Raw genomic sequence first — 18,840 nt, forward strand, 5'->3', positions numbered from 1 at the left:
TAAGGACTACAGGCCTTTGGAAATAATAATTTTTAAAGTGGTCAATTATAAAAGATTGAAAATCATATTAACACCAGATTTGTTGTCTATTGGGATGCCAGAAGATGATAAAGATACATCTTCCATGTTCTGAGGGTAAAGTACTTTCAGCTAGGATTATTTATATAGATAAGCAAAGATGCTCTTAGATATTTAAGATTTTGAAAATTTACAAATAATATACTGTATATGAAAAAATTACCCAAAGATATATGGCCATCTCTCCAAAAGAAATCTAAGAAAGAGGATGGCATAAAGATTTTTTTTTTTTTGAGGCAGAGTCTCGCTGTATTGCCCAGGCTGGAGTGCCGTGGCACAATTTCAGCTCACTGCAAGCTCCGCCTCCTGGGTTTATGCCATTCTCCTGCCTCAGCCTCCCCAGTAGCTGGAACCACAGGCACCCGCCACCATGCCTGGCTAATTTTTTGTATTTTTAGTAGAGATGGGGTTTTACCGTGTTAGCCAGGATGGTCTGGATCTCCTGATCTCATGATCTGCCCGCCTCAGCCTCCCAAAGTGCTAGGATTACAGGTGTGAGCCACTGCGCCCGGCAGCATAAAGATTTTTAAAAGTGGCAGTTGACAATTATACAGAAGAGGCAAAGGATACTAGAAAGGCACTTAAAGAGTTATCTATGAAATCTGACACTTGGAAAATTCTCCTTTGTGCTGTAACGGTTCTGTGACTCGAGATCACCTTTTCTTCTCCATGAGTCTATTCACACTTAGTTCCTTGGTGAATACTGTTCTAAACTTTAGAACAGAATAATGAGAAATAGTAGCTAACAGTTATTGATACCACATATCAGGTACTGTTCCAAGCACTCAACATGAATTAACATTAAATGTTTTAATTCTTCATCTTCATGACAACTTTATGAAGCAGTTAGTATCATTATCCGCATTTTTACTCATGAGAAAATTGGAACACAGAGAGGTTAAGTAACTTGCCCGAAGTTATACAGCCAGTAAGTGGCAGAGGTGGGAATTGAATTCAGACTAACATTAGGGTCCATGATTTAAAATTTTATAACTAACGTGGATGGGAGAGGAGGAAGAACACACAAAGGTCAGAATAATTGCAGTAATTTCCTAATCTTTCAATGCAAGGAATCATTGAATACCATATAGAATTGATAAATCAAGAAGTAGAAGCAGACATATTATTAAAGGTAGACTTTACCATCAGAAAACTAGAATAGCCAAAACCAAGAATTAATACCACTGAAAAATGGGCTTAGGAGTAGTCTGGCAGAAGAAAACTTTGTTATGCTTCTCTTTATTATTGAAAAAAAAGTTTCACCCTATGTATATATTATTGCTATCACTTTAGAAACCAGTTCAATTTTCAAAAAAGATTTGATCCTGTAAGTTTAGTGAGTCACCTTGACAATCCTGAGTGGAAGGTGAGAACATTGGCCTAAGAGTTGTGGTGAAGTATGGAGCCCACCTACAATTTCCCACTCGGCCTGCCCATCTCTGTCCAGCCAAGTCTCCCTCCATCCCCAGGAAAAGTCTGTCTGGCAAAGAGACTTCCAAGTTCAGAGCCTGGGGAGACACAGCCTTCCAAAATGAAGCCCTAAGATTCCTGGGCCATGACTGTGTCTGCCCTTCTCCTCCCAGAGGGCGAGGATGACAGATTCTGGGGCCCTGGGAATATTGGGAGGAAGGATTCCAGACACTGGAAATAGAGTTGCCAACAGAGGCACTCTGGGCACTAAAAAGCCCAAGTCTAGGCCTGGCAATGTCCCCCAGGTCCCCAGAAGACATCGTGGGGGTCACATTGCTCCAGCTTTGGGGTCTTTTTCAAGCTCACTCATCGACTATTCCCAAGGCCTGCAATCCTTCAGCCTCCTGCCACCCCTCCCCACCCACCAGTTTTGGTTTTCGCCTTGGCTGCAGGTCCCTGGGGTTCCAGGCCCCTGGATTCCATCCCTGTGGTTCTCACCGTGAGTCATGGTGGCTCTGCTGTGCCGTCCTCGCTATCTCGGGGAACCGGAGATCCCCCTTAATTCCCTCCAGCTGTGTCTCTACAGGGCTGAGGTCATCCATTCTGGCTCAAGAGGAAAGCAGAGAGTTTGTTGTGTCTTTGTTTCATTCAAATGGTTTGGACGGTGACTCACTCCATTTCTTCTCTCTTTTCTTTTTAAACCAGGGCACCGTCTGGGAGTCGTTTTTGATTAGAAGTTGACCTCAGAAATATGCTCACATCATTTTGAAAGCATCTTCCAGCACCACAGAAATCGACTCAGATGGAGAAAGGACACTGAGTGGACAGGGGCCAGGATGGGGCGTGGACGCTCTGCCTCTGCCGGGGACAAGGCCTTCCCACAGACTCCCTGGGGTGTTGCCAGCCTGAGTCAGAGGTAGGAGGCCAGCCCTGTCGAGCCCCCATACACTTATGTATTGACCTGGGGCCAGTGCTGTGGATGGCAATGACCATCATCATCACCATCGTCATCATCAACACTAGCTACTATTATCAAGTGCTTATTCCAACCCACATGGTTTCTAAGGGAGTCACATGAAGTGACCTCACATCATTCTCACAGCATCCTGCCAGGCAGGTACCATTGGCGTTTGCCATCTGAGTATTATCACCATCTGAGGTCCCACTCAGGAGCTGGGCATGTCGGTGAGTAAGGTCATGCCCTTGACCCACTAGGTGCAGGACCCTCCAGTGGGTGGAATCACGGGTCTCATTATGAATGTGAAGCTCCCAAGGCAAGGTCTGCCTGGCCCTGAGGCAGCAGGTATGACCCTGGTGGGGTGGGAAACGGAGGTCAGAGGTTGTGAGCTGGACCTGAGTCAGGTCAGAGGTTCAGTGGTATCTGGGAAGTGGCTCCAGGCGGTGGGCTGTTGGCTGCACAAGGATGGAGGGTGGCAGAAAGCTGTGCTTTACCGAGGGTTTTGCTGTGTTTTTTTTTTTTTCTACTGTGTGCCTGGAAGTGTGCAGACAGGCACGGCATGTCCATTTCCCCTGCAGGCTACTGGAAGAGATAAGGCTGGGAGGCAGATCACACTTTCCACCTTGAGAAAGACACAGAAACCGAGCAGAAGAATCCAACCGGGGATTAGGGAAAGCTCCCTGGGGGTACTGGCTTTGGAGCTGGGGGAGGTGGGATAGACCTCTACACAGAGAGGACCGGGCACCTGTGTGCAGGGGAGGAAGCTGCTCCACTTGGCAAGTGCGCAGCTGTGGGAAGGGGACTCCAGGAAACAAAATCCAAACTGCAGGCTGAGAAGTCTGTGAAGTTCTAATCACAGGAGTAGCATGGTGAAGAGAGATGTGGTGTCTCATGGCTCTGAATGGGTGTCGGGCAGATGCTCCGCAAGGCAGGAAGAGCCAAGCTGGCTGCTGCTCCAGCAAAAGCAGCTCATCGGCCAGGTGTGGTGGCTCACACCTGTAATTCCAGTGCTTTGGGAGGCTGGGGCAGGTGGATCACTTGAGGTCAGGAGTTCGAGATCAGCCTGGCCAACATGGTGAAACCCTGTCTCTACTGAAAATACAAAAACTAGCTGGGCATGGTTGCACACCCCTGTAGTCCCAGCTATTCAGGTGGCTGGGAGGCAGAGGTTGCAATGAGCCAAGATCACACCACTACACTCCAGCCCGGGCTACAGAGTATGGCTCTGTCTCAAAAAAAATGATAGCAGCTCATCGAATGGAGACTTGCAGCCCTGGCATCTTGAAAGCCCCTTTGCAGGTCGCATGAATGTCTAGGCATCTGTGCTTGGTCAATGTATTCATTTTCTGGGGGTGCCATGACAGATTACCACACACCGGATGGCCCAAAACCATCCTTTTGCAGTTCTGGAAGCCAAAAGTCCAAAATCCGTGTGTCAGCAGGGCTGTGCTCCCTCTGAAAGCTCCACAGGGGCATCTTGGCCAGCTTCTTCCAGCTTCTGATGGCTCCAGGGATTCTTAGCTTGTGATAGTAGAATTCCAGCCTCTGTCTCCATCTTCTCCTGAACGTCTCCTCCATGTCTGTGATCTCTTTTCTTCTTTAAAGACACTTGTTGTTAGGTTTAGGGCCCACCCAGATCATCCAGGTGATCTCACCTTGAGATCATTAACTTAATTCCATCCACAAAGACCCTTTTTCCAAATAAGTTTACATTCACATGTTTTTTACTGGATTTGTCTTTTGTGGGGCGGGGGTTGGAGGGAGTCATCACCATTCAACACCCTCTAGTCTATAAGGTCTATTCCCTGCCCTGCTACTAAGTGGGAGTTCCTGGAGAATAGCAATTGTGTGTTCATTCCTTCCTTCCTTCATTCCTTCATTCTTGTGTCCCACAGATATTGATGTAATGCCTACCGTGTTCCAGACACGCTGCGAGGCCCTGGGGATGCAGCCACAATCCCAACAGATCTGATGCCTGCTCTCATGGAACTGACTTTGCACTGGGGGGAGGCCAACTCCACGAAAACAGAAACTGGATGACACATTGGAGGGAGAGCAGTAAAAGGAGCAAGCAGAGAGCAAGAACAACAGTGTTGCCATGGGGCGGGTGGGCCCGCTGTAGCCAGGGAGGGCCTCTCCGAAGGTATAACAGGTAAGCTGAGCCCTGGATGCTGAGAAGGACCAGCCTCAGGAGCAGGGCCCCTCTGCAGCAATGCCTAGTACAGAGGCTTAGAGAAGACATGGGCACGTGCACCAGGCATCCCATGGGCAGGGCTACCTGAGTTCCATATGTGTGTGGAGAGGTCCCGCAGGGCCTGGGTGCGTGACGAGGATGAATAAAGTGGGTGGAGGGTAATGCCACAGTGAGGGGCAGATGGTGGCCAGTTGACAACACGTGCCCCCATCAAAGAGGTGGTTGCTACTCAGCTCTGACTCATGGTCACCAAAAAGGATGTGGGGCGAGTGTGGCCAGATCATCTAGTTCTTCAAAAGAAAGTAGAAATCTAAACATTTTTTTTTTGGTAAAGACATCTGAATTTCAAGTGCTTTTATTAAAAGAAGCAAAAAGAGGCCTGGCACGGTGGCTCACGTCTGTAATCCCAGCACTTTGGGAGGCTGAGGTAGACAGATCACTTGAGGTTGGGAGTTCGAGACCAGCCTGGCCAACATGGAGAAACCCCGTCTCTACTGAAAATACAAAAAAAATTAGCTGGGCATGGTGGCAGGTGCCTGCAATCCCAGCCACTCGGGAGGCTGAGGAGCGAGAATCACTTGAACCCGGGAGGCAGAGGTTGCAGTGAGCTGAGATCACGCTACTGCACTCCAGCCTGGGTGACAGAGCAAGAACCTGCCTTAAAAGAAGAAGAAAAAAAAAAAAAAAAACACTGGGTGGATGAAAAAAAAACATCCCCAAGCCAGGTCCAGCCTGCAGGTCACCATTTTGCAGCCTTTGGGTGGAAAGCCGGATTGGACTGCAGCAGCCTAGTACTCAAGGAGAGGGCACGGCAGGGAGAGGAGACAGCAGCGGAAAGGCCTGAGCTGGGACAGTCGAAGAGCTGTGAGCGGCTTGCTATGGCTGAAACGTAGTTTGAGTGTGACCACAAAACATGGCAGACTGTGACCACATTGCAAGGATCTCGGAGGCTTGGTAAAAGGGTTCTCTTCCCCGGAGATGTGGCACAGTGTCCGATCCCCGTGCCTTTCCTCATACAGTGCCCTCCCCCCTTTCTCCGCATGTCTACGTTCTGACTCTAGTGCCACTTTTTCCACAGTCTCCCTGGTCCCCCTCCCACCCACCATCAAGATGGGATCTCTCCCTCCTGGGAGCACCTACTGCACTTTGCTTTCATTCATTCATTTTTTAAAATTAATTAATTAATTGGTTTATTTATTTTGAGATGGAGTCTCACTCTGTTGCTCAGGCTGGAGTGCAACGTCACGATCTCGGCTCACTGCAAACTCCGCCTCCCGGGTTCAAGCAATTCTCCTGCCTCAGCCTCCCAAGTACCTGGGATTATAGGCATGCGTCACCACACCCAGCTCGTTTTTGTATTTTTAGTAGAGACGGGGTTTTTGCCATGTTGGCCAGGCTGATCTCAAACTCCTGACCTCAGGTGATCTGCCTGCCTCGGCCTCCCAAAGTTCTGGCATTATAGGTGTGAGCCACCATGCCCAGCCTCATTCATTCATTTATGTGTTCATTTACTCAGCAAATATTAGAGTGCCTGCTCTGTGTCATGGGGGTTGGAGGTGGAGGACTGAGGACACAGAAGTCAGCCCAAGGGACACAGTGGGAGCCCACGCAGAGTCCTCATCTTCAGGGGACTCAGAGTCCAGCAGTGGGGAGATGGGTTACATGATCACACACCACATGTTAAGTTACAACTTCAGTGGGTTCTGGAAGGAGAAGTGCTGAGGGGGAGACGAGTAAGGCCAGAAGGGCTTCCCAGAGGAAGGGGCAAGGGCTGAGCTCTGAGGATGCATCTGAGTTATCCTAAAGGCATTGGAAGCACTGGACAACTCAGCTTTCCTCCGGGAGGCACCATGCTAATGTGTGCCCTTGGAAAGCATCACTGTCTCAAAGGGGCTGGAGGAGGCTGTTGTGGCCATCTGGTGAGAGAGGACAGGGACTGGACCACAGGACAGGATTGGAGTGTGACCCATAGATGTGGAGAGACGTGGGGAGAGTCCAGAGACTCGGAGGAGGCGTGGAAACCATGGCGTGTCCTTGCTTCAACTCCCCTCTGAGATGGAAGCTCTGGATGCCAGAGATGGTTTCCTTGCTGGGTGACCCAATTCAGCAAAAAAGAAGGGTGACCTAACGGTCAGAATCAGACTGCCCCAAATCGAGCCTCCAAGACTTCACTTCTCAGCTGTGTGATCTGTAAAATGATGACAGCAACAGCAGTACCACTTCATAGGCTTGTCCTGAGGTCTCGGTGAATGATCTCTGAGCTGCGGAGCACATGGTACCCACTCACTAAGCAAGAGCCAAACTTCACGAAAGAGTATTTACATGTTAACAATGTCATTCACATGTCAGCATGTAACCGCCAGTGGGTTCATTTTGCCACTGCCCAGATAGAACCAATGTATCAAGACGGGAATTGCAATAGAGAAAAGAGTTTAATTCACGCAGAGTCGGCTGAATGGGAGACCGGAGTTTCATTATTACTCAAATCAGTCTCCCTGAAAAATTCAGAGACTGGGGTTTTTAAAGGATAATTTGGTGGGCAGGGGGGCAGGGAGTGGGGAATGCTGACTGGTTGGGTTGGAGATGAAATCATAGGGGGTCGAAGCTGTCCTTTTGCACTGAGTTGGTTCCTACATGCAGGCCACAGGACCAGATGAGCCAGTTGATCAATCTGGGTGATCCCAGCTGAGTGCAGGGTCTGCAAAGTCCCTCAAACAGCAATCTTAGATTTTATAATACCAGTGTTATAGGAGAAATTGGGAAGTTTAGGGATATTTTGGCCTCTGGCTGCATGACTCCTGAGCAGTTAACTTCTGATCTTGTGGCTCACTTGTTAGTTGTACAAAGGCAGTCTGGTCCCCAGGCAAGAAGGAGGTTTGTTTCGGGAATGGGCTGTTATCATCTTTGTTTCAAAGTTAAACTATAAACTAACTTCCTCCCAAAGTTACCTATGCCCAGGAATGAACAAGGGCAGCTTGGAGGTGAGAAGCAAGATGGAGTCGGTTAGGTCAGATCTCTTTCACTGTCACAATTTCTCATTGTCACAATTTTTGCAAGAGTGATTTCAATCAGAGCAGTGCCCCAAACATTTTTTTGTTAATAATTTGAAGGATGTTTATTTTAGAAAACAAAAAGGACATCAAGGTAGCCATCACGCAAAACTCCGAAGTGTCTTAGACTTCCTTACTCTTACTGTACAGCATTATGTTGGGTTTGAATTAATTAGGGGGCATGGGGCATCCTGATCGCCTCGGGATTTGTGGCTTTAAAAGTCTCCGGAGAGGACTGGCAGCAGTTCCCAGGGATGTGTGCCATTGTCTGGGACAGAGCAAGCCGAGTTCGTTGAGCTACAGCCTACGGTCCAGGGACCTGACTTGGCTGGAGGCTGGACATGTCCTACTTCTCTTAACTCAGCAAATGGACGGAGGTCAGGGAAAGGTTGACTCGGGGTAGGGGCTGGAGGAGGTTGCAGGGAAGCCTGTGGAAGCCACTCTTGCAGCAGGTCCCGGGAGAGCCCCAGGCCCTGGATCTGAGCATCCTCAGTGGGGCTTGGGGATCCGTACCTCTAGAGGGCAGTGGGGCTCCACCAAGAGTCCCTTCCAGTGTCTTCCCAGTGGCCAGGAAATACTCCTCACCTTAGAACGGGCCTCCCTGCTCAGCCTAAAGGGAAATTTCTACCCACAGGTTGCCTTGGCTGGGCGCAGAGGATGGATCTTTCCACATCCAGTTGTTTGTGCGGGGGAAAGCTCATTAGGAAGGAAAGTATCTAGTGTCAGTAGCATGTGAACGTTTCCAAGCACAGAAGCCCGACAGCTGTACCTACTTAGGGGGTACCTGGGGACTCCGGGCCACACAGAGGCCATCTCCCACCAGCCTGGCCAGGGGGAAGTCAGATTTCTGGGGCTCATAATGTTCACATGGAGAAAACGTGCATTTCTACTGGAGTGTTCTTGGCCAGACTCAGGCTTTTAGATTCCCCAAAATAAATCTCCTCGACGGTTCGCCCCTGCCTGCTCCTACCCCTCGTTCTTGCTTGGCAAACAGGGAAGTCCCTGGATGCATTTTGGTCCAGAGATCAGAGCCCCCAGGGATCAGAGCCTCATGGGCTGCACCCTCTAAGGGCCACAGAATCCCTGTTGGGGGCAAGGTTAGGGGGTGCAAGCATATCCACTTTGGGTGCACACAGACCTGGGTTCAAATCGTCACTCTGCCACTGCACAGCTGCAGGGTCACCAGCTTGCACCCACTCTGAGCCTCCGGCTCATCTGAGAAATGAGGAAAGCCCCACCTTACGGGATGGCCGCAGGGCTCGGGGACAGAAATCCTGGAACCAGTATATATAGCACAACACCAGGCACATCACAGCCCCTGCCAGAAGCACCACCAGCCGCACCCTCCCTGCTGCTAATTTTTCCCGAGGCACCCATTGCTGAACTCTTCTGTTCTTATGGTTTATACAGTCTATCCTTCCTGCTGGGACACAAGCTCCACTGCCGTGTCCAAAACACTCTGTTCTAGGCACAAGGTTGGCATCAAAAAATACCTGTTGGGTGCATAAATGAATGCTTTGGAGCTCGTATTACAGTTCTCTGGGCCTCAGTTTCCCCAGCTGTGCAATGCGGATGATGGCATTAGAAGTGTCAAAGGTGGCTTCAGATGGATTGAGCAAATGTGCAAGAGCACCCAGCCCAGGCAGGCAACAGATGCAAATCCACTCTCCCAATCAGATTCCGAGGTTGTCTTGGGCTTTACAATGGAGTCAGGAGAATCGCCACCCTCTGGCCTCCAAGTGCAGCTCAGAGGGATGGGTCACTGGCCAGGCATTGATACAGACTCACCCAACAAGGCCTGCAAGTTCTCTGAACAGGCGCCCTCATGTTGGATCCTCCCAGGGGCCAGGCAGGGAAGACTGAGGCCAGGAAACACCCCAAGGCTCAGAGAGGTGGGGTCACTGGGCGAGGCTGTCTTGGCCGTTTCTCTGCATAAAGCAGCCAGGGGCTGTGAAACTCCAAGGTGAGAGGTGGCCCATGGGTGACAAACGGGAAATGGAAGGCCAAAGAAGTGTGAGTGCACCGGGGAAGCAGGGTGTCTTAGTGGGAAGAATGTGGGCTCTGGGATCAAGGAGACCTGCCTTCCGGCCTGCCTCAGCCACTCACCATGCAACCCCGGGGAAGCCATATCACCTCTCATTTCCTAATCAGTGAAATGGAGATAACAAGAGCCCTTGCTCTGCAGAGTGCTGGGAACGGCTCCTGCAGCGGCTGGCACACACTTGATAAGCAGTTAGGAAAGAGCAGATATTACTCTTTGTATGAGTTCTCTCTTGTTGCCATAACAAATTACCACAAACTTAATGGCTTAAAGCAACACAAATTTAACATCTTACAGTTCCGGAGGGCAGAGGTCCTAAAATCAAAATATTGGCAGGGCTGCCTTCCTTCTGGAGGCTCTAGGGGAGATTCTGTTTCCTGCCTTTTCCAGCTCCTGGGGCCATCTGTTTTCCTTGGATCATATCACTCCGATCTCTCTGTCCATCATTACATCTTCTCTGACGGTCCTGCCTCCATTCCATAGGGATCCTTGTGATTCCACTGGGTCTACCTGGATAATCCAGGATAATCTCCCTGTCTCAGAGTTCTTAACATCATCACGCCTGCAAAATCCCTCTTGCCTTATGAGGTAACATATTCACAGGTTCTGGGGATTAGGGCGGGGACCTCTTTGGGGCCATAATTCAGCCGACCACACTGTTCTTATGATGCCTCCCATCCTGGCCCTGCTCCACTGTTCCTCCAGCAGGCACTGTCTATCTCTGTCTCTCTCTTGCTCTAGCCTTGACACCAAAGGAGTTATTTGGTTCTAATTTGGGGTTCTGGTTGGATGAATTGCAGGAGAAAGCTTGTGTCTCCTCAAACATCCCCCCATTGTCCCCGGACCATACAGGTTGTAGTCAAGGGACTTGTTAGAAGGCAGGCGGCAGCCAAGAATTCCAGAGAAAGCTGCATGGGAAATGTCCCCATTCATTCATCAAATATCAGAGCACCTACCACATGCCTGGCACTTCTGGTCACTGTGGGCACAACTGTGGACTGGGCAGACTTGACTCTGCCCTCGAGGAACTGACCTTCTCGGGGGAAGACAGGTGGGAGAGTGATCCTATCATAGGCACTCAACCCAAACAAGACCCCAGGTATTGCGAGGGAGGGTGGTGGAGCAGATACATTAGCTAGGGTGGCCACGGATGGCCTCTTTGAGGAGGTGGAACATGACCCAAAGAGCCATGCAGGGGATGGGGGAAGTGCGTTCCAGGCAGACGGCTTGGCAAGTGCAAAGGCCCCGAGGCAGGAACGTGTTTGGCTTCTTCAAGAAACAGCAAGATGGCAGCGTGGCTGGAGGGATGAGGTGGTCTGAGAGTAGCTGGGGGCCAGATCATAGCAGGACCCTGGCTTTTATTCTGAGTGAGGTCAGGGCCTTTGGCGGGCTTTAGCAAAAGGTGCTATCATCTGGCTCATATTGAAAAGGATCCCTCTGGCTTCTGTGAAGGGAACAGACGATAGCAGGCCAGAAACCAGGAACCCAGAAGGAGGCTACACAGGCAAAGGAGTAAATTGAGGAGAGTTTTAATGGATTATTCACAAAGGCACAGGAGAGAGGGGAAACGTAATGCAAGATGAATCCCCCAGAGCTATCAGCACTGGGGCACCTCTGCCGCCCCAAGGCCCGAAGAGGTTAAGGAGGAGAGCAGTTTCTGGGACCGGGAGGGATGGCACCCCATGGAGAGGGCCACTTGGAGAGACAGTGGCTTTTGTTGAGGGACATATCCAGGCCACGGCATGAACACCCAACCTTCCATCTCTTGCTGGCACCTCCTATTGAAGGAACCCTCTGAAAGCCAGAGGTGCCCCGGAGAGGCTGGTCATATGGTCCGCCTCCCAGGCCCAGAGAGCTGAGGGTGAACCTGGAGGGCAAATGGAAGACACTGGAACAAGCTCCCTGCCCAGCTCCCTGAACGCAGGGCAGCTGACACTGTAGCCTCTGTGCCTGTAGCCACCGTTGCTGTCTAGCTTTAGAACTTGGATCCTTGAAAAAAATATTAGGGCTGCTGCTCCATGGCAGCCCTGTGCAGAACACACCAGGAGGGAGAGGGAGAGACACGGAAGATGTAGCGCGCCCCCCGCCTCCTTAGGCTGTTCTCCCATTGCTATAAAGAAATACCTGAACCTGGGTAATTTACAAAGAAAAGAAGTTTAATTGGCTGATAGTTCCACAGGCTGTGCAGGAAGCACAGTGGCTTCTGCTTCTGGGGAGGCCTCAGGAAACTTACAATCGTGGTGGAAGGCTAGGGGGAAGCCAGCACATCACATGGGCAGAGCAGCAGGAGCAAGAGAAGGGTGGGGAAGTGCTACACACTTTTCCATGACCAGATCTCATGAGAACTCACTATCACGAGAACAGCACCAGTGGATCCACCCCCATGATCCAATCGCCTCCCACCAGGCCCCACCTCCAACACTGGGGATTACACTTTAACGTGAGATCTGGGCAGGGACATGGATCCAAACCATATTATTCCCCCAGCTCCATCTTTACAGAGGGTAGAGGGGCAGGAGGCATGAGGGGAGGGGCCGGAGAGGGACTGAGAGGGGCAGGAGCGGCACTGAGCGGCTTGCAGCAGATGAGGGGGTCACACCTGTAGTGGCTTTGTTCCGGGTGTAGGTAACGATGTGTTGTTACTTTAAGACTTTTTCTTGGTCATAGATTGTGTGGTTACAGATTTCAAGCAGTACAAATGGATATGGAGCGAAAAGCCCCTCTCGTCCCCTCCCCCATGCCCCTGGACTCCCAGGACCATTAGTAATTCTGAAATGTCTTTCAGAAAAAGCACGTGTGTTTGTGTGTGTGTATACAGTGTGCAGGTATGCAGTACGTATGTGTATTCAGATGTGTGTGTATACAGTGTGCATGTATGCAGTATGTATGTGTATACAGATGTGTGTGTGTATACAGTGTGCGTGTATGCAGTATGTATGTATATGCAGATGTGTATACAGCATGTGTATATGCAGTATGTGTGTTTGCATTGTGGATGTGTGTGTTTGTATGCAGTGTGTGTATGCAGTATGTGTGTATGCAGTGTGAATTTATGTCATTGTGTGTGTATGAGTTTATGTCATTGTGTGTGTGTGTGTGTGTGTGTGTGTGCGTGTGTGTGGTCATCCCATGAATGGGACGCACAGGTCTGCACTTTGCGTTTTCCCTTGCCGGCCACTGTTCCAGGCACTGGGGTGAAACACAGCAGTGAGCAAGACAAACTGTCCTTTTTTGTTTTGTTTTTGTACTTTTTGTAAAGATGAGGTCTCACTATGTTGCCCAGACTGGTCTCAAACTCCTGGGCTCAAGCGATCCACCTGCCTCGGTCTCTCAAAGTGCTGGGATTACAGGCATGAGCCACAGCGCCCGGCCAAGACAAACCATGTAGATAACAGGTTAGACAGAGGGAAGGCCCATGAGGAAGGATGAGGCCAGGAGACACAACAGAGCAACAAAGGAGCTGACCCTAAACACAACCCGAGGAAACAGGGTGTTTTCCTCACTGTACTGGGTTGAATCGTGGCCCCCTCAAAAGATGTGTTCTTGTGGTGGACGCTGGTACCTGTGAGTGTGGTTCAACTTGGAAGAAAGGCCTCTACAGATGTCACCACATGAAGGGTCTTGGCATGAAACCATCCTGGATTAACCAGGTGGGTCCTAAATCCAAAACCAAGTATCCTTATAAGAAGAGGAGCCCATGTGAAGATGGAGGCAGAGATTGGAGTGATGCAGCCACAGCCAGGGAACACCAGGAACCCCCAGAAGCTGGGAGGGGCCAGGAAGGGTCCTCCCCACAGCCTTCAGAGGCATCACGGCCCTGTAGCACTTGGTTTCAGAATTCTGGCCTCGAGAATTACGTAAAGATAAATTTCTGTTGTTCAAAGTCTCCCAGTTGATGGCAATTTGTAGGCGGCCCTAGGAAATGAATGCACACACCTATTCTGTTCCAAAGCTGCGTTGGATCCCCCTACGGGCGTCCGCCAGGCGTCAGGTCACCAGGGCTGTGAGGATGGGTGTTCTGATTGTTTATATTTTTCTGCTACTTCAGTAGACCAGCCTGAGTATCTGTGTGTGTCTTTGGGTGCGTCGGGGGTGTTTCTAGAGGAAGACTCGCAGGTGTTCCACTGCTGAATCATAGGGTCATTCATTGTTGATCAAGATCTTGGGTGGAGTCTGGGCGCCGCGATTTTAGCATCGAGGAAGAGGGACCATTGGCTGAAGCCGGGGAAAGTAGGTAGCATGGGTGACCTGAAAACCAAGAGCAAGGGGACAGTTTGAAGAAGTGGAGAGAACACCTCAGAGCCAAACGCCACTGGAAAGTCCAGGAAGAGAAGAAATGAGAAGAGTCCATTTGATTCGCTGACAAGGGAGGGCGCTGGTGGCTTGGCAGTGAGGTAGGCGCAGAAGTCCCAGCACAATGGCTGGGGAGTGAGTGAGCAGGAGCAGGGGATGAGAGGCAGCAGCAACTCCTTCTAGACCCTTGGCTGGGAGGCGTGGGGAAAGCCAGGCTGGTGGCTGGAGGCAGATGCGGGTTCGATGGATGATTTTTTTTCTATTTTTATTTCTGGTTGATTTAGACAAGGGACACCTAGCATGTTTGAACCTTGATGGTTGGGAGCTGGGAGAGAGGGAGGGTGAAGATAAAAGAAAGGGATTAACCAGGGTGTCCACGTGGGCAGGGACGGCTCCTCTCGAATCCTCGGGGGGACGGGGGTGGTGGAGGTGGGATGGAGGGTGGGGCAGCTCTTCCTCACCGGATGAAGGGTCCAGCTGCGGAGACTCTGTGATGTGGAACCCTCTGATCGGGCCTGTGTGCGGCAGATGTGTGAGCACCAGCTCTGGGTGGCCCAGGGGTAGGCCAGGCCAGGTCACTGGTGGCTCTAAAAGCTACATGAAAGGGGTCATTACAGAGCTTTAAACCTAACTGTGATGGCGACCCACTGGAGCCTCAGAACCATTATCTGGCAGCTGCGTGGAGAATGGGCTGGGGAGGTATGGAAACCAGTTAGGGGGCGGACATGCTGGTCCATGTGGCCCAGTGGCTGCCACATGCCTGTTACGTGTGGAGTTTACCAGGCGCCCATCTGCTTTGTGGCGATGCTGGTGGAAATGCCTATTATAACACAGATACAGAAAATGCTGTGGTGTGTTTTGAGATAAAAATCACAAGCAGCCGGGCGCAGTGGCTTACACCTGTAATTCTAGCACTTTGGGAGGCTGAGGTGGGCGGATCGCCTAAGACCAAAAGCTTGAGACCAGCCTGGACAACATAAGACCTCCATCTCTATGAAAAATTAAAAAATTAGCCAGGTGCACTGATGTGTGCCTGTGGTCCCAACTGCTCGGGAGGCTGAGGCAGGAGGATCGCTTGAGCCCAGGAGGTCAAGGCTGTAGTGAGCCTTCATCATTCCACTGAACTCCAGCCTGGGTGACAGAGTGAGGCCCTGTCTCAAAAAAACTCACAAGCTCTAGGAGACAAATTGGACTTGAATCTTGACCCTCCCCCAACCCCCGACAGACTATGTGGCCTCAGCCTGGTTACATGACCTCTCTGTATATGTTAGTTCTTCATTGCTCTATAACAAATGACCTCAAAATATAGCAGCTTAAAACAACACATTTTCATTATCTGACAGCTCCCATGGGCCCGGAATCTGGGTTCAGCTTATCTGGGCCCCCAGGCTCAGGGTCTCTCTCAGGCTGCAGTCAGGAGTCATCGGGGGCCATGGTCATCCCAAGGCTCCGCTGGGGCAGGATCCACTTCCAAGCAAGATCAGCAGTTGTGGCTGGATTCAGTTCCTCATAGGCTGGGACCGAAGGCCTCAGTTCCCCACTGTTTGTGACCAGGAGCTGCCCTGGGTTCTTTCCACGTAGGCAGTGCTGCTGGCTTCATCAGAGGGAGCAAATGAGAAGACTCAGATAAAGAGAGCGCCAGCAAGATGGAAGTCATTACCTCTTGTAATCTAAGAAGCGAGTCACTAGGTCCAGCCCACAATCAAGGGTAGGGGATCACACAAGGGTGTGGCTACCAGGAGTCCAAGCTACTTGGAAGGCTGAGGTGGGAGGATTGCTTGAGCCCAAAAGACAGAGGTCACAGTGAGCTGTCATTGTTCCACTGCCCTCCAGCCTGGATGACAGAGTAAGACCCTGTCTCAAAAAAAAAAAAAAGAAAAAGAAAAAAAGCCAGTACCTAGTGATAATAAAAATCAGAGCAATTGTTGAAATACTGTTTTAAAATTCTCTGTAGATAGTGCAACCCCTGAGTGCCAGCACCAGGTGGATCATTCCTACCACCCCCTCCCCTCATCGGGATGCCACCAAGATGCAGCTGAAGGACATTTACCAACAGATGCACTCAGGCCTTCAGAGATTGTGTTAGACATCTTAGTCCATTTGTCTTGCTACACAGGAATACTTCAGGCTGGCAATTTAGAAAGAGAAGAGGTTGATTTGGCTCATGGTTCTGATGGTTGGAAAATTCAAGATGGGGCATCTGCCTCTGGTGAGGGCCTCAAGCTGCTTCCGCTCATGGTGGAAGAGGCAGGGGACCTCATGTGTGCAGGTCACCTGGCGAGAGAGGAAGCGAGAGAGGGGAGGTGCCGGGCTCCTTTTAACAGCCAGCTCTCATGGGAACAAATGAAGCGAAAAATCACTTACCCCCACCCCCCACCAGGGAGGGCATTCACCTACTCATGAGGGATCCACCCCATAACCCAAACGCTTCTGTTAAGCCCCACCTCCAACACTGGGGATGGAATTTCAACATGAGATATGGCAGCGGTTGTGAGGGGAGGGCGATCAGATAAACCAAACTATAGCAGCTTCTGTTTGGGTCCAAGTAGCCATGGAGAATACAGTGGGCCTGATTTTAGGATGGGAGCTTAGGCAGTGTCTCTGCTGACATCTGGAGCTATTACATCTAATGGAAGAGATGCCAGGTGGAAGCAACAGCTGGACGAAGGCCCTGAGATGCAGGCAGTGTGGCATGTTTGAGAGTGAGAGATCAGGGGGCTGGAGCAGAGGGCAAGATGGGAGAGTACTGGGAGGTGAGGTAGGAAGGGAGGTGGGCAGTGGAAAGCTTTGGTGGCCATTTAAGGTCTTTGTCTTTCACACTGAGGATCTTGAGCAGAGGAAGGACCTGATCTAAGATTAGCAGGAACACTCTGTGATGAGGACAGGCAGAAGGGGAAAGGCAGGGAGACCAGCCGAGAGATTACCACATCAGTCCTAGCAGGAGGTGGTGCTGAAACAAACACCAGACTCAGAAGAGTGCCAGGCCGAGATGGGGTCAGTTTCGGGATAAAATTGAAAGAGGGAACTGATGGGATTTCCTGACAGATCGGAGATGGGTGTCAGAGAAGGAAGAGGGCCAAGCATGGTGCTGGACTTCTAGCCTGAGTGACCGGGGTGACGGTGTCCCATGAAATGAAATAAACGCTGGGGTGGGACGGTGCTAGGAAGGAGAAATGCAAGAGTTCAGGTTGAAACATGATCAGCTCCAGGTCTCTTTGAGGCCTTTCTCCCTCCCTCTGCACCCTGCTGGGATGTCCACTTCACGCGGATGGAGACTTTGCTTAGTCTGTGTTCTTCACTGATGTGGTCCGTGAGCCTTGAACAACGTATTCATCCGTTTTCTGTTGCTTATAACAGAATACCTGAAACTGGGCATTTTGAAAGGGAATTTCTTTCTCGTTGTAGAGACTGAGAAGTCCCAGGCCGAGGGCCACATCTGATGAGCGCCTTCTTGCTCACGGGTACTCTGCAGCATCCCCTGGTGGCACAGGACATCGCATGGGGACGGGCTGAGTGCGCTAATGTGCTGTGCTCAGGTCTTTCTTCCTCTTCTTGTAAAGCCGCCAGTTTCCTTCCCATGATAACCCATTCACCCATTAATCCATGAATGGATTCATCCATTCACGAGGGTAGAGCCCTCAGGATCCAGAGTCACCACTTAAAGGCATCACCTCTGAACACTGCCACATTGGCATGGCAGGCAGGATAAGGGCCCCGTAATGATGTCCATGTTCTAATGCCCATCATCTGTGGATGTGTTACCTTCTACAGCAAAAGGGACTTTGCAGGTGCGATTGCTAATCACCAGTGATTAGAAAGGAAGAGTACCCTGGGTTACCCAGGTTTGCCCCATGTAATCACAGGAGTCTTTAGAGGCAAAAGAAAGAGATGTGAGAGTTTGTTAGAGAAAGAGGCGTGAGGCTGGAAGTGGAATCAGAGTGATGGGATGGCTGGCCCAGCAGATGAGAGCTGAGTGCTAAGGAATGCGGGCAGCCGTGTCTATTTCCAAAGAAGCTGGAAAGGATGAGGAAACCTTCTCCCCCAGAGCCCCCAGAAGGAGCGCAGCCCTCCTGACACCAGGATGCTAGCCCCACGGGACCTACTTTGGACCTTGGACCTCCAGCACTGTGAGGTGATGAATTTGTGTTGCTTTATGCCACTAAGTTTGTGCTAATTGTCGCAGAGGCCTGCAAGGAGACAGGGCTCAGGAGCGGTGGGTTTCAGCTAGGATGAAAACACGCAGGCCCTGGGGGGAGGGAAGACTGAGGATGTGGGGGTTTGTTTATGGGGGGCAGTGAGGTGCAGAGGGATGGGCAGCACCATTTCATGGGGCTGTGGGGCAGAAAGTGGGGTCTGAGCCTCATGGGGGTCAGAGTGAGACGCAGGGGATGAGATGAGAGTGACATAAACAGGGATAAATGGCAAAAGAGACTCGTCCCAGAGGGGAGGCCGTGAGCCCTGGGAGATGGAAGTCACGGGACCTGGGACCCCCACTGCCCGACTCTCCGAGGAGCCCTGGACATACTCTGGGCAGTGCTGGTCTAGGGAACTGGAGACGGGGGGTGGGGTGTCCACAGGGCAGATTTTAGGAGAGCCTGCCCTTGCACCTTCAGATCCTGGAGCCCAGCTCAGGGGCCAAGGTCTGTGTCGAAGACCCCAGCAGCACACAGAGGGTGCCCTGGCTTATTTGCACCACGGGGAGGATAAATGAGAACGTGGGCTCCTGAACTGCACGGCTGCAGGTGTATCTGGGGAGGACCAGATGGAGAGGCGCCCAGCCGGAGCGCGTTAGCACCATCTAACATAGCAAGCTACA

At 51.0% G+C, this 18,840-nt stretch overlaps 1 long non-coding RNA gene across 2 annotated transcripts in view, besides 1 other annotated feature; it reads left to right on the plus strand.

Moving 5' to 3' along the window:
- Positions 1,957–2,251: an enhancer, noted in NCBI's record as "tiled region #14118; K562 Activating DNase unmatched - State 10:DNaseD". NCBI's record gives its function as "activates a minimal TATA promoter and a strong SV40 promoter by Sharpr-MPRA in K562 cells {active_cell/tissue: K562}" and the evidence as "EXISTENCE:reporter gene assay evidence [ECO:0000049][PMID:27701403]".
- Positions 2,180–18,840, plus strand: part of LOC105372663 (uncharacterized) — a 30,555-nt gene continuing 13,894 nt past the window's right edge. The window contains exons 1-2 of one of the 2 annotated variants that reach the window (XR_936848.3): positions 2,180–2,404; positions 4,342–4,598. This is a non-coding gene — a long non-coding RNA (uncharacterized LOC105372663). Of the gene's footprint in view, positions 2,405–2,575; positions 2,674–4,341; positions 4,599–18,840 lie in introns of those variants that run through there. The other variant, XR_007067650.1, reaches the window with a different exon arrangement.

The sequence above is a fragment of the Homo sapiens genome, chromosome 20 (assembly GCF_000001405.40).
Source record: "Homo sapiens chromosome 20, GRCh38.p14 Primary Assembly".
Lineage (NCBI taxonomy): Eukaryota > Metazoa > Chordata > Mammalia > Primates > Hominidae > Homo > Homo sapiens.